General features: G+C 40.3%; 1 protein-coding gene across 4 annotated transcripts in view; it reads left to right on the top strand.

The window, feature by feature from the left end:
- Positions 1–16,010, top strand: part of DAB1 (DAB adaptor protein 1) — a 1,551,949-nt gene that overhangs the window by 337,166 nt on the left and 1,198,773 nt on the right. The gene's annotated exons all lie outside the window — the stretch shown is intronic.

Below are 16,010 nucleotides of genomic sequence, written 5' to 3'. Positions count from 1 at the left end.
TTATGCAATGGCTAAATGGTGGCTTTTTTTTTCATGCTTTTCGCTATTTGCATTGGAAAATAGCTACTTAGCATATTTACCAACTACTTTTTATAAGGTAGTTTTCATTGTTGTTGTTCTTGTTGTTTTTGTTAGCCTCCAGTTCTGAGCATGTGATAACAAAATGTTTTTGCTTCAGATTTGCAAGTGCAGTAGTGTTAGTTCTCAGCTCAGTTTGTCACATGAAAAATGTTCTACAACAAAGACGATTAATTTGTTTCCTACGTGTGAATGCTTTGAAATGGAAGGAAGCTTATCTCTCATTGGATTCTAGTGGGTTATAACTACTAGGAGAACTCCAACCTATAGCTGTCCCTGTAGCCTCATTTCCTAGCAAATCCCAGCTCACATTCTATAATGCATCATTGCTGGTCAGCCTTTAGATCCCCACATTATTTAATGTTCTTGCACTTTTGTCTAAGCTGTTCAGTGAAGATACTTGGAGTGTCTCACCTCACTTATCTCCTGAAAAACTCTTCCTTATCTCTCAAGACTCATTTTATGTGTCACTTTCTCTAGGAAGCCTTCCTTGAATGGCCTAATCTGGTTCAGGTTTCTCTTAATTAACTCCAGTCCATTCCTGATTTTTGCTTTAATGAGTCGTTTTAGGGGGTGGAGGGAAGTTCAGCTTAATGTTTAAGAAAATAAGTTTTAACTCTATGAAGATTCCTTTAAAAACTAAAGGTAGATCTACCATTTGATCCAGCAATCCCACTACTGGATCTACCAGAGGAAAAGAAGTCATTATATGAGAAAGACGCCTGCACATGCACGTTTGTAGCAGCACCATTCACAATTGCAAAAGCATGGAACCAGCCCAAATGCCCATAATCAACAAGTGGATAAAGAAAACATGGTATGTATATACCAGAATACTACTCAGCCATAAAAAGGAATGAAATAATGGCATTCACAGCAACCTGGATGGAGTTGCAGACCATTATTCTAAGTGAAGCAACTCGGGAATGGAAAACCAGACATCATATGTTCTCACTTATAAGTGGGAGCTAAGCTACAAGGATACAAAGGAATAAAAATGATATAATGGACTTTGGAGACTTGGAGAGAAAGGTGTCAAGGGGTGAGTGATAAAAACAATATACATTGAGTACAGTGTACACTGCTCAGGTGATGGGTGCACCAAAATCTCAGAAATCTCCGCTAAAGAACTTGTCCATGTAACCAGACACCACCTGTTTCCCCAAAACCTATTAAATTAATTTTTTAAAATGCTAAAAAAAAGAAAAGAAGTTTTAACTCTAAAATGTAGCCTGAGATTGAATTCGAATTCCACTACTGATATGGTTTGGCTGTATCCCTACCCAAATCTCATCTTGAACTGTAGTTCCCATAATCCCCATGTGTCATGAGAGGGACCCAGTGGGAGGTAATTGAATCATGGGGGCAGTTACCTCTATGCTGTTCATGTGATAGTGAGTTCTCATGAGATCTCATGGTTTTGTAAGGGACTTTCCCCTCATTTTCACTCTACACTCCTCCTTGCTGCCACCATGTGAAGGAGGACATGTTCACTTCCCCTTCCACCATGATTGTAAGTTTCCTGAGGCTTCCCCAGCCCTGTGGAAGTGTGAGTCAATTAAACCTCTTTCCTTTATAAATTCCTCAGTCTCAGGTATGTCCTTCTAGCAGTGTGAGAACAAACTAATACAACTACTTACTAACTTTGTGATCTTGGGAAAGTTACAGACTCTAAGATTGCATTTTTTTTCATGAAATATGTCTTTTCAGGACAGATATTAATATTAGTAAGGAACTCTGTGTTGACTACCTATATCAAAACACTTATATGCCACATTAAAAAGTATCTATCTATTTCTCCTGCAAGACTTCAAGTAATCAACCATTTCAGGTTGTCCAGCACTGAGGGGATTTCTCGAATGTGGGGCTTCCAGTATTAAAACCAGGACAGTCACAGGTAAACCAGGATGGCTGATCACAGTTGCCCTCACTGGACCATAAATAACTTAAAAGTAGGGACTCTGACTTCTAGGCTGTATATTCCCAATGCTGAGCACATTGCTTTCTAAGCAGCAACTTGCTGCTGAGCACATTGCTTGCTGAGCACATTGCTTTCTAAGCAGCAGTAGGAGAAGTGGGATTAATGGGCATGCATCACCTAGGGAACTTTCTCTTTTCCCAACCATGCATAGATGTTTTCCTACCCTGGAGATTCCTTCATACTTCCACTCTAACCTCCGTCCTCACTACATTTGAAAACCGCTGTACCAGTTAGCTATTGCTGCATAACAAGCCACTCCAAAACTTAGTGTTTTATAGCAGCAGATATTTAACTTGCTAATTACAGTGTGAGTTAACTGGAGGGCTTGACTCATGTAGGATGGCTTTTCTTAAGTATCTGCAGGGTTAGTTGGCAAGTCAGCTGAGTTTTCTCATCTTGACTGGGTGCTAGCAGATGTTTGGAGCCTCCGCTGAGATGAATTGGCTCCCCAAGCTCTGCTTTATGTGGCCCCTTCATCCTCCACTAGGCTAGTCCAGGCTTGTTCTCATGTGGAGGCAGGGTGCTGAGAGAGCAGAAGTGTGCAGGCCCTCTAGGCTAAAAACAGCCTCATCATCACTTCTGTTGCATATAGTTGGCCAATTAAAGGCACAAAGCCAGCCCAGATATAAGGAAAAGAGAAATAGATGTCACTGTTTGAGCTGCAAAATCACATAGCAAAGAGCATAACTTCATGAACAACTGCAAGGATTGTGGCCATTTTTACAGTCTTTCACAACTACTAACCAAATGCAAAGCAATGCTCAATAAAAGCTTAAACTCAGAGTAGTTGTTGTAAGTCAAATAATTATCAGGTACCTACTCTATATCTGGAAGTGTGTTATTCACTACTCTAAAAACAGCAAGATCTGGGAAGGTATGTTGTCTAGAAATTGAGGGAAGCTTGTGCAGCAGGTAGATATATTATTTGTGGGAGGTTATAACATAGTGTTAGTACAGTGGTAAAGTATTCTCACTGGGAAGTGTGAAAGGAAAATAAATCTCAGGACCTCCAAATCACTAAGCCAAAGGGAATAGTCAGGCTGGGAACTGCTTAGGGCAAACCTGCCTCCCATTCTATTCCTTAAAAAAAATAGCAACTGAGATTAAAAATAGCTGCATACTTTCCTCCCAATGAATTTTCCTGTGGACAAAGGACAGACAAAACTCATTCATCCCTCTGCTCACTGAGATAAATGCATATCTGATTGCCTAATCAGAAACTCAAAAAAATGCAACCTACCTATGACCTGGAAGCTTCCTTCCCAGTTAGAGTTGTCCCGCCTTTCTGGACGGAACCAATGTATATCTTACATGTATTGGTTGATGTCTCATGTCTCCTTAAAATGTATAAAACCAAGCCGTGCCTCGACCACCCTGGGCACATGTCATCAGGACGTCCTGAGACTGTGTCATGGGCGCACGTCCTTAACTTTGGCAAAATAAACTTCCTAAATTGACTGAGACCTGTCTCAGATATTTGGGGTTCACAGAAGTAATATATACAAATAAAACCATAATGATTAAAAAAAAATACTCAGCTGGCCAGTTTCAGAAAGTTTCACAAGTTGGCCTCAGAAAAGGATATGAACTTGGCATTGACTAACTGGGTTCCCTCAGATTCTGGGACAGATTGGTCCGCTCTGCCTTAGAAAAGGAGGAAGCATCAGACAGGGTTCCAGGGCCTTGAGGGTAGGACTGTTCCTTACACCTATGCACAATCTTGGTCTTTTAAGGCTACTTTCATGGACCAGTGTTCATCAGGTTTGCTGGCGCATTCATCATTCAATTAAAGAATGTTAATGACAACATTGGGGAAATCATATAGTTTGGCCCCAATTGCTGGCAAAGTGGAAAACAGTGAAAACAAAAGCACTCGGCTACAAAGGAGTCATTTAATTTGATATTTTTTAGTTCAATGAGCTAAACAGTTGAATTAATTAAAACCTACTTTAGGTCCACTTTATATATTTAACTATCACAAACAGGTTCTCAGGGCCTTGAGGGGCCATGGGTGAGAAGACCTTGAACACTAGCAGCAAGCTGCAGTTTCAGGGACACATGTGGTTTGAAAATCACACATTCTTGCAGAGGAACACTGGAGTTTATTGCAGATGTGGGAATAAACCGGGTCATAGCCATGGAGTAAAAAGACCTTAGGAGGGTGGTGATTTGGGGAAAGGGGAATGAATTAAAATAACACAATCTTTGCAGAATAGAATAGTACTGTCATTAGACCAGAGCCTGTGAGAGAAAAAAAATAAGTCTTGCCTGAAAGAGTTGTCCAGAGTGAACCCACTCAGATGGAAGTCTGTCCATGGGCTGTGAATTCAGAATTCTAGCATGTGCTGCTTGGCTGTAGAGCTGTGAACCTGGGATTGGGGCCCGGCAGGCTCCTATGTAATCCTACTTGCTGTGTGACCTCGAGCAAGTGACTTCAACCATTTTGACCTCAGTTACCTCATCAGTGAAATGAATACTATTATTATAATATTATAGCTCTTATATCTATTACAGAGCTGCTACCAGACTGATACTATCACATATGTAACACAAGCTGATGTTAGTTATTAATATTATCATGGTAAACCTTAGATTTTGATGGTTCATAGGAACTCTTAGTTGGAATCACATCGTGACGGCTTATGTTCAACTTCTCTGTTTTTATGGGCACATTTTGTAGACAGGTGTAGCAGATGCCATTGGTGCCTCATTCATATCCTGTAATGTTGGCAAAGGCTGCTTGATGCATTGGCCTGCACATACAGCAGGCTGGAAGTTTATGCGTGGGAATTAATGTCCCCCAGGAGCAGCCTTCAAACAACTACAAAAATGAATTGATGAACAAATACCTCAGCTTCTTCATTGCCTGGGTGAGACAACTCTGAAGAACTTTATTGATTCTCTCCTGGGGGTTCTGATAGGATTGAGCTGCAGCTGCCCACAGAGCTAATCTGTGTATCATCACCCCTGGTATTGGGCTTCTGCCCTTCCATGCCTCACTTCTCTACCCCCTACTGGTGCTTCTGGGGAACACCTCTCAAGTAAGCCACTTGGATTAAAATTTTTGTGCCATAACACAGTAGGGACTGTGTCTGATTCATTTCTGAATACTAGCGTTTTGATGCAGGGGGCATAGATGCATATTTGCGAAAGGAAATTTGAATTTAAGTTCTACCCTCTGGGGCTCTGACAAATAATTCGGTTCTATTATTTTCATGACAGTTCTTTGTGCCAACCTAGCTTTTATTTAACTCCCTCCCAACCAAACCAATCTCATTCTCCAAGAGCTGCATTTCCAATTCTTTCAAACTTTTCTCTCATGACTCGGTTTCAGGTTTTCTCTGTATCCTAGGTTGTGTGTTCATATAGGTGTGATCAAATGATGGCAGTTCAAAACTGAGCCACATAATGAACTTGATGCTTGCTCTGTGGCCAGGCAGTGGGGTAATTATTACAGGTAATGTCTTAAGTCCTTAGTTCAGTTAGATACATGGCCATGTTCTAATGCCACTAGCTAAACTCTTGAGTTTTTCTCAAATGCCTTCTGTATGCATGCTCTTTGACCTCAAGATGTAACATTCATTTAGCTATTTGTTCAATAAACTATATGCCAGGCTTTGGGTTAGGTTCTGGGCTTATAAAACTGAAGACATATGCCTGCATTTAAAAAGCTCTACATAGTCAACTGGGAGCCACAATAAACACAAAATACATCATTTTAGACTGAGGGAGACATGCAAAAAGATCATTGCAGTGCAGTTTGATCAATGTTATATGACATAGCAGTAGTTCTCATAGTGCTATCCTTGGACCTGCAGCATCAGCACCACCAGAAAACTTGGAAATGCGGGCCCCACCCATTCATGTCTACTAAATCAGAAACTCTGAAGCTGGGGCCAGCAATCTGTGTTTTAACAAGTCTCCCAGTGATTCTCATGCTCCCTAAAGTTTGAGAACCACTATGACAGAAAGAAGGAGAGGATTTAGTGGCAGAAAAAAGAAGAGTTAGCATATGTTTCAGTGTGTGTTTATGTGTATGGAGACAGTTGGGTGAATATGGGAAGAGAAATCAAGGAAGGCTTCCCAGATTAGGGAACCCTGAAGTAAGTCTTAAAGGAGAAATATGAGGGTGTTGTCTATGTCTTGGTTTGTTGCAAACCCATCCTGAGATGACCTAAATAATTTAAAGCCCAGATATTCCTAATGGTGAATCCAAAACAGATAAAATGTTTGATCACAATTGTGTCTTGGTTGAAGACAAATCATTACTTAAGAGTTTATAATCATAGAATGGGAAATTTAAGGAACACACGGCAGAAAAACCTTAGTTTTACCAAAGCATCCACTGGGGGTTCTGTTAAGTGATGCTGCCCTCTTCCCCTTACCCCTTTTTCTGCATCATGATTTTAAACTCTTAAGGGCAGGATCTTCTTGACCTGATTTTCCCTTTTTAAATTTCCAAGACTCCAGCACAATGCTCAGTTAATAGTGCTCTAAAAGTATTTCTCCATTTGATTTCCCAGGAACAAATGGTGCAAAGCAGGTTGTCTGTGCTCTTTTCTTTTGGCCCATGTGGCACTAAGCAATTGGTTTAAGTGATTGTAAATGAAAATGGCTGAGTTTAATCAAACAGATGTTTTGCTGTCACAGAGACATAACCTACCTGTGGAGAATGATTTGGAGGTGTGGGTGCTACATGTTGTTTTTGGTGGTCCCTAGAGTCTCAATTACACATATCGACAAAGCAACCCCATAGTGCAGGTGATTTTTATTGTTATAGAATAATATAAAGTATAATTAGCTTGTACAAATGATAGTAATTTCTAATGCCTGTGTAGTGTTTTCTATTTTACAGAACACATTCACGTCCATTAACTCATGTGATTCTCACAACTTTGTGAAACAGAAATTGACAGGTATTAATAGAATTCTTATTTTTTAGGTGGGGAAGCCATGAACCAGTGTAGCATCACTTCTGCTGTGCTCTGTTAGTCAAAGCAGTTACAGACCAGCTCAGCTTCAAGAGGAGGAGAAATAAATCCTACCTCTCAGGAGAATGTCAAAAAAGTTACACCATCTTTAATTTGCTACAGTGACCTTGGCACTTTATCTTGCTGAGCCTCAGTTTTGTCTATGAAGTGCAAATAATACTTACATCATGAGGGTTACTCAGTGGCAATTACTATCTTAAACCAATGGAGAAATAATTTAAGAAGGGACAACTGATCATAATATATGGCTATTTGGAAAGACATTCAATTAAAGTCAGAAGGCATTGATTAAGTAACAACTCTGACTGTTGTGAAGTCTTAAATGCTATCATCTAATTTCCAGATTGTCTTTTTTTTGTCTTTAAAGCTAACACTTATAAAGTGTTTTCTATGTGTCAAACAGTGTTTTAGGTTCTTATGTTTATTAACTTGTTTAATCTTCACAGCCATTTTGTGAGGTGGGTGGGATTGTTGTCATCCCCATTTCACCGTTGTGTAAATTGGGGCATGGAGGGGCTGAGGAGCTTGCTGAAGTGTTTGATAGAAGCAGAATTAGGTAGGTTGGATGTTGCTATAGAGGCTGCACTCCTCACTGCCATACTCTGCTACCTATCAGGTTTGTTACCTGTACATCAAGTCACTCCTCCCATTTCAGGGTAGGGGTACCTACCTTGAAAACAAAGAATTAAAACACAATTTGTCCCAGATTTTAAAATGGGGTAAATTTGGACTTCCCCATGAAATGTTGAGAAAATGTTTAAAGATTGAGAAATTTGAGAAAGCAGGAGATCGGATATCAGTTCAAAGTCCTCATGGAATTCTGCCAGGAATCCCCCAGTGCTTGCTAAAAGGTAATTTGCCTTTTTTCTGCAAACTTCCTCTGGGACTAAAGCTAACAGTGGACACAGAATTTTGAACAGACTCTCTGTGAAACCCTGAGACTTGGGGTCCTTCATCTACTTTTAAGTGTACATTTGTCAACTTCCAGAATTATAGACATACTTGACAGTGTTTCCTAATATTTTCTCCCCGTGGGGTGAGGCAGTTGAATTATTCATCATTTCTGTTTATGGACCTTTGGTATTCAGCAAAGCAGAGGCAAAAACTTAGAAAGAGCGCTATGTCCAGAGATCAGTATTCTGAAAGGGCACTTGTCAAGTGGAATTTCTTATTTGCTGCCTGAATCTTCAGAGGAGACAACTGAATTAATTAATAAAACAAAATACCAGAATTTTGGGAGGCCAAGGCAGGCAGATCACGAGGTCAGGAGATCGAGACCATCCTGGCTAACACAGTGAAACCCCATCTCTACTAAAAATACAAAAAATTAGCCAGGTGTGGTGGCGGGCACCTGTAGTCCCAGTTACTCGGGAGGCTGAGGCAGGAGAATGGCATGAACCTGGGAGGCGGAGCTTGCAGTGAGCCGAGATCACACCACTGCACCCCAGCCTGGGCGACAGAGCGAGACTCCATCTCAAAAAAAAAAAACAAAACAAACAAAAATAGACTACATTATTCATATGTAGTGACTGGTGCTGAGGAAGTCCATACCTCTAGTAAAGATGAAACCAAGCTAATTGGAAAAGAAATTGGCAAAATTCTAAATTACAGCCTCTGTTGGTAGTTATGATAATTGTTTGAGTTGGGCTAAATACTAGTTAGTTTTAAACAACTCATGTTTTGGTTGCACATGTCAGTAGGTGAATATATTAGTGGAGCTTGGTTCTTTGGGTGAAATGCTTGATTTGCTGACTGACAACACATTTCATTTATTCATTGCCACTGAAGAACCTGCCACTTAAAGCAAAAACAATGTAAAAAAAATCAATTGAATTACACCTTCCAGATATGCCAAGTGTTTTTAGTGCTGCAGTCAGCATTTTACCTTACTTGAGTGATTTATATAATCATGATAATTTGGTAAGAGTAGAGGCACATACCATTCTGCCTTGTTGTCTCCTTACCTTCAAACCCACATTTTGTGAAAGGAGGCAGATGGCATAAGGTAAAGAAGATTCTTGGATAAGTAATCTGTGTGAAAGGAGTAATAAGTTATCTTCCAAAGGCAAAAAACTAGCTAAACCAGGGAGCAAAAAAGGCAATAATGTATTAGATTTGGAAAGGACAACTAAGCGAGGAGGTGAGTGGGTGGACAAAGGAATGGCATGGGAGTTAGAAGTAGGTTCTAGTTACAGCTCTGCCAACATTTATCTGGGTGACCTTGGGCAAGTTCATGTAGGGAGCTGATTGGACTTGGTGTTCCTTAAGTGCTTTTTCATCTCTCATAATGCCATCATTTTGAGTCTCAGCAACAGTTCGAGTCCCTGAGAGATGGTCATTTTGTCACTCCTTGAATACTTTTCAAATGTGTCAGGAGTTGCCAGTGCTCACCAGTGTCTGTGATCCCCACTGCATTCGGGCACAGCTAAACTTAATTTCTAAGTCTCTGTGTCTCTGTGCATCTGAGTTCTGACCAATGGAATATGAGTGGAAGTGATGTCCAAATTCCAGGCCTGGCATGAAGAACCTCCACTTCCGCCCCTGCTCTCTTTCCCCGTCATTTGGCTGAAAGAAAAACACTTCTAGGGCTTAGAGGAGGACAGTGCCATAACCTGGAAGAAACTTGGGTCCGTGCATGACTGAGTGGAGCAGAGTTTTCTTCATCCCACTGACTTGCATTCTATTGTGAGACATGAACAAGAAATAATATTTGGTGGTGTGAAGCCACTGAAAATTCAAGGTTGTGTGTTGTAGCAATCAATCTACCGTAATTAATGTAAGGTGATGAGAAACACATGACTTTAAGAGGCAATTCTAATTACAGTAAGTTCCTTCTTGATAACAATGTTATTTTCTTTTAAATATAATTTAAAAATATACTATTAGTTGTACTAGTAGTAGCATTATAGTAAATATTTAAATGACATGTCAGGTACTGTTCTGAGAAGTAGACATTGTTAAACTACTTTAATCCTCAGAACAATCCTATAAGCTGGTTCTCTTATCCTCATTTTACAAAAAAGGAACTAAAAAAAGAGAGATTAAGTAATTTGCCCATGGTTACAAAGCTAGTACAGATCATAAGTTTATCTTACTAGAATTTTATGAGATTAGAAAGGTCAGACATTGTTATTCCTGCCAATTTATGAATGAGGAATATATAAACTAGAGCTCTTCTTATTGGAAGTTTTAAGAAACCTGACTGAAATTGACTTAAGCCAAAATGGTAATGGAGAGTTCACATAACTAAATAGCCAGCCAGGACCTTACAAGACATCATCAAGACCAGTCTTTTTCACATTCTTGGCTCACCTGTTTTTGAGGCTGCCTCTTTCCATAGCTTCTTATGGGATCAATAGGACTGCAGGCAGTTCCAGTACATTTGTTTTTTGTTTTTTGTTTTTGAGACTGAGTCTTGGACTGCCACCCAGGCTGGTATACAGTGGTGCAATCTTGGCTCACTGCAACCTCTGCCTCCCAGGTTTAAGCGATTCTTCTGCGTCAGCCTCCCCAGTAGCTGTGACTACAGGCATGCGCCACCGTGCCCAGCTAATTTTTTGTATTTTTAGTAGAGATGAAGTTTCACCATGTTGGCCAGGCTGGTCCCGAACTCTTGACCTCAGGTGATCCACCTGGGCCTCCCAAAGTGCTGGGATTACAGATGTGAGCCACTGCGCATGGCCATCCAGCATGTATCCTTTAAATTCATCCAAGCTAGCAGAAATAAGAGAGCTTTTGATTTTCCTACAGTACAAACAAAAGTTCTGCCTCTCAATGGATTGAGTCTTGCCCTCAATCCTGAACCAATCACTATAGCCAAGGAACTGTAATCCCTAATTGGCCAGGCTGGGTCATATGTCTAATCTTGGAGTCAAAGATCTGAATCAATTCTATCAGAAATAGATGACTGAGAATATAGAAGAGGTTGGTTACGAGAGGAAAATGTACTGATGTACCAAAGGAAGGCATGGACATTGGACAGCCAATATGTAATGACCTTTTTTGTGAGCCCAAGTCCCAGAGAGGTTCAAGGACTTGCCTAAAGTCATACAACTAATGATCTTGATGACACAGCCTATCCACAATGAATCTGTCTTATTCACCTTTGCCTATCTGCTACCTGTCCCAGCCACTTTTTGAATGAAAAAAGGAATAAATATTACGTGATTAAGACTTATACCCATGTCTTCTGACTTTACACCTTAATACTCTTTCCATTGACTATTTCCAGGGCTGCACAATACCGCTTACACTATGTGTGAAGATTAATAAACAATTGTTGTTTGCTATAAAAGGTGGCTTTGAGTTCCTCAAGGGATATGCTGCTATGATGCTGGGACAGCTCTCTGTACTCTGACTTTCTCTCTCCTGGATGCAGCTGTCGTGACTTCTTGATGAACTCTATCAGCAATGATAAGGGATTCAGTGAAATGGTGGCATTTCTGCTTAGTCCTGCCTACCATGATATGATGCTGACAGATCCTTCTTTGAAGAGTCACTTCATGGCTGGTACTATTGGAACTGTCAACTACTGTACTTGGGAATCTCAATCAAACTTGTGATGATGGGAATAGATTTACATTTACAGCTTTCAAGTACAAAGCAATATTAATGCATTCATGTTGAACTAACATTATGCCTGGGGCTCAATTTCCAAGTGAGAGTTTGCTTGACAATTATTTTCTCAGAAGCTGGTAAGTAGAAATTAAGGAATAGGTACAGCTGAAATGTAGTTTTGAATTTTGCTAGGGTCTTGATCATGCTTTTCTTGTATGTTCTATCTCTGTCCTCAAAAAAAAAAAAAAAAGTGTAACTCTCGCTGGGCATGGTGGCTCATGCCTGTAATCCCAGAACTTCGGGAGGCTGAGGTGGGCGAATCATGAGGTCAAAAGATCGAGACCATCCTGGCCAACATGGTGAAACCTCATCTCTACTAAAAAACACAAAAAAAACTAGCTGGGTGTAGTGGCGCGCACCTGTAGCCCCAGCCACTCGGGAGGCTGAGGCAGGAGAACCGCTTGAGATGGAGGTTGCAGTGAGCTGAGATGGCACCACTGGACTCCAGTCTGGTGACAGAGCAAGACTCTGTCTTAAAAAAAAAAAAAGTGTAACTCTCCTACTGAATGTTTGTTTCTTCTAATACCATAAAGAGAAAATGGATATCTCAGATCCAACCTATGACCAGGTCTTGTCTATTTTACCTTCTGCATATCTGCTATATCCATCTTCTATTCTATTTAATTCTCACTGTTCTGGTCCAGGCTTTCAATAGATCTTGTCAGGGTTTATTGTGGTTTAATATAATAAAACCTCACTTTTCATTCATGTTGTAGGCCACTGAAGCTTGCAGGGGGTTTCTGCTCCACGTTATAATTCAGGGACCCAGGTTCCTTCTATTGCATGACTCCACCATCTAGCAGCATCTCCTCTGCATATAGCTAGAAGATAAGAAATGGAGACTGTAAGAATCTCAAGGGAGGTTTTCAGAATATGAACCTAGAAGTAATTTGCATGATTCCCATCCTCATTTTATTAAGACTAAGTCACATGGGCTTCATCTAAAGGGAAGCTGAAACATGTAGTTTAGCTGTGTGCACAGGAGGAAAAGGAATGTTCTTTGCCATATCTGATGATATGGTTTGGCTCTTTGTCCCCACCCAAATCTCATCGCAAATTGTAATCCCCATGTGTCAGGGAGGAATCTGGTGGGAGATGATTGGATCATGGGGGTGGTTTCCCCCGTGCTGCTCTCATGGTAGTAAGGGAGTTCTCATGAGATCTGATGGTTTATAAGTGGCAGTTTTCCCTGGGCTCTCTCCTCTCTCCTGCTGCCTAATGAATAAGGCACTTGCTTCTCCTTCACCTTCTGCTGTGATTTTAAGTTTCCTGAGGCCTCCTATCCAGCCATGTGGGACTGTGAGTCGATTAAGTCTCTTTCCTTTGTAAATTACCTGGTCTCTGGCAGTTCTTTATAGCAGTGTGAAAATGGATTAATATACCTGGAATACTGTAGTAGTCTCCAAGATAACCTGTCCCCTAGCTTACAGTCTTGCCATACTGTCACCAGAAGTATATGAAGTGTATTTGTCATCTTGCTGTTTTCCAACTATTTCAGCAGCTGCTTAGCTTCTAAGAAAAAACTCAAGTTATATAGTATGACAGGCAGAAGCCTTCTTGATCTTGCCCTGCTTCTCCAGCCTGTTTCCTCCTGGGACCCTTCCTCATACTTGGTGCTCCAACTTTTCTAAATTTCTTATGGCTCCAGAACACACAAGGCTGCCTTTTCACCTCCTGCATTTGCACATGCTACTTCCTATGCTTGTAATACCTTTCTCAGCTTGCATTTCCATCTGCTGGTTGAATAGCTATCTGTATCTTTTGAGATTCAACTCAGTTCCTCTGTGAAGACTTTTACAATACTCCCTGACCCTAGGTAGAAGTAACCACTCATGCCTTTACTTTTTCTCTGAGCCCAGACCTCTGTGAAGAGCATACTACAGTTTAGGGGCTGGAGAGAATAATTCTTAAGGGTAAAGGAGTCAGATAGTTTCTGAGTTTGATTAAAATCTCAACTTCACTGCATGCTAGCTTTATGAGCTTGGGAAAGTCACTAAACACTTATAAGCTTTAGTGTGTTCATGTCAATAGATATAGCAGTAATACTTCCTGTTAGGGCTATTGTAAAATTTGAATAAAATAATATGGTTTAGTGCTTGGCACATAACACATATTCAATAAATATTAGCTCTTAATATCGCTGTTATTCCATATGTGTTGCACTTTATAGACTCTAAGTAACTTGAACACAGGCACTGTATCTTCTGACTCATATTTGCTATATTCCAGTCCTGAATCATATACTTAGAATATATTGTTGAATAGATGAGTAAGTTAATGAATGAGTTATGCTAGTGTCCCACAAATTACCTCTATTTTAGGGAAGATAAATCTCTCCAGAGAACTCTCAGTGAATAACAGGTGTGTCCTTTATCCTGTGTGTCTGTTCTTACATCTTTCCTTTTTTCTCTATCTCTTCTTCTTCCCATTTTTTTGCCAGACCTCTATTCCTTCAAAACATTGCCCTCTCTGTGTCACTTTGTCTTTGTGCCTCTATGTCTTTGCACTCATTGTACCCATCTCTGCAATTCTATCATCTACTTCTGGTATCAAATTCTTGCTCATCCTTAAGTCAGTTATCTTTCTTCTGGAGCTGTCTTGATTTCTGCCCTTCTTCCTCGAAGTATCTCTCGTTGCATTCATTTTTGGGCTCAACAAATACAGCAGCCATCTTACTTGGAACACCTGCCATATGCTAGGCGGTGAGATAAGCAGTGCATGATCTCTCTCTGTCTCTCTCTGTCTCTCTGTCTCTCTCTCTCTCTCTCCTGGTGGCCCTTCTAAGTTTCCTCTTCATATTTTTGCCCTTTTCTTATCTCTCCCACTAGCAAGTAGGATCCTTGAAACAAGATTCAAGTGTGAATCAAAATTGTATTCTTCCTGATGTCTTAGAGTTAGGCTATTCAATAGTTGAAGGAAAGACAAAGACATAGAAAGTACATCATTTCCTCTTGATCCTAGAAAAGGATCAAGAGACTAGTATGGCCACGGGTTGAACAGTATTCCAGGCTGTGCCTGGACAATAATCAGGATGTATTCCAATTTAATATTATCTTCTGATACTATTCAGTCCCAATTAGATTCTTGGGGCTCTGTCTGCAACAACACCATGGCTAGCTAGAATGACACCATGGAACGTTGAGAAAGATGAATGGAGTTGGAATTATCCAATTTGAAGAATGAAAGGTTGCAGGAAGCTGATACACAGAACCTATAAAAGTGCCATTTAGCACAGAAAGGGTTAGTCAGCAGTCAGCAGTAGAGTGGATTTAGGTTATAAATACGAGAGTTTCTTTCATATGACCACCTTTCGACTTATTGAGAAATATTTTACCATGTATATCTTGAAAAGCACTACAAACATTAATCTTTCCAGAAGTGTTAAAACATCCTTATACCCACAGGCTGAAGAATGTGCTAGATAAGTTTTAAAAATTGAGGACAAGATATTTTTATGCCTTAACTTGTTTTTATGAGAATGAGAACTAACATTTATTGAGCCAGGTATGAAACTATTGATTTTACAGATTATCACATTTAATGTTCATAATAACTATGTTCATCATAATGTAAATATTTGTATTTTATAGGCTCAGAGAGGCCAGTTGAAATAGCAAATATCACATAGGTAAACAGTGCTGGAGTCAGAATTTGAACTCAGGTCCTAGCTGAATATGAAGCTACTGTTCTCTGGGTATATGCACTTCCCTTAACCGGAATACTGTCTTTTAGTCTGAGAAGTAAATTAAAATAAAAACATTTCTTCAGATGCCCCAGTTGAATGACTATGAGGCATTTAATACAGATACAGATTTGGACAGAGATATGTGCATATGGCTAATCTCTTAACTTCTGCTGCAGCAGCAAATTCTTTATCCAACGTCTTCTTCTTCCCTTTGTTCATTTATTGTAGTGGCTGGAGCAGACCCTTTGAATTTGGTTCTTGTGTTACTAGCTATGTGACTTTGGCTAAGTTACTTAGTTACTTTACCTCTTTGTAACTCTGTTTTTCTTTGTTTTTCTTTTCTTTTTTTTTTTAGACAGAGTTTTGCTTTTGTTGCCCAGGCTGGAGTGCAATGGTGCGATCTTGGCTCACTGCAACCTCCGCCTCCCTGGTTCAAGTGATTCTCCTGCCTCAGCCTCCCGAGCAGCTGGCATTACAGGCGTGCGCCACCATGCCTGGCTAATTTTTGTATTATTAGTAGAGATGGGGTTTCACCATGTTGCCCAGAATGGTCTTGAACTCCTGACCTCAGGTGATCCACCCGCCTCGACCTCCCAAAGTGCTGGGATTATAGGCGTGAGCCACTGCGCCTGGCCGTAACTTAGTTTTATCATTTGTA

Source organism: Homo sapiens, chromosome 1, assembly GCF_000001405.40.
Source record: "Homo sapiens chromosome 1, GRCh38.p14 Primary Assembly".
Lineage (NCBI taxonomy): Eukaryota > Metazoa > Chordata > Mammalia > Primates > Hominidae > Homo > Homo sapiens.
This window is presented reverse-complemented; position numbering and strand designations above follow the sequence as displayed.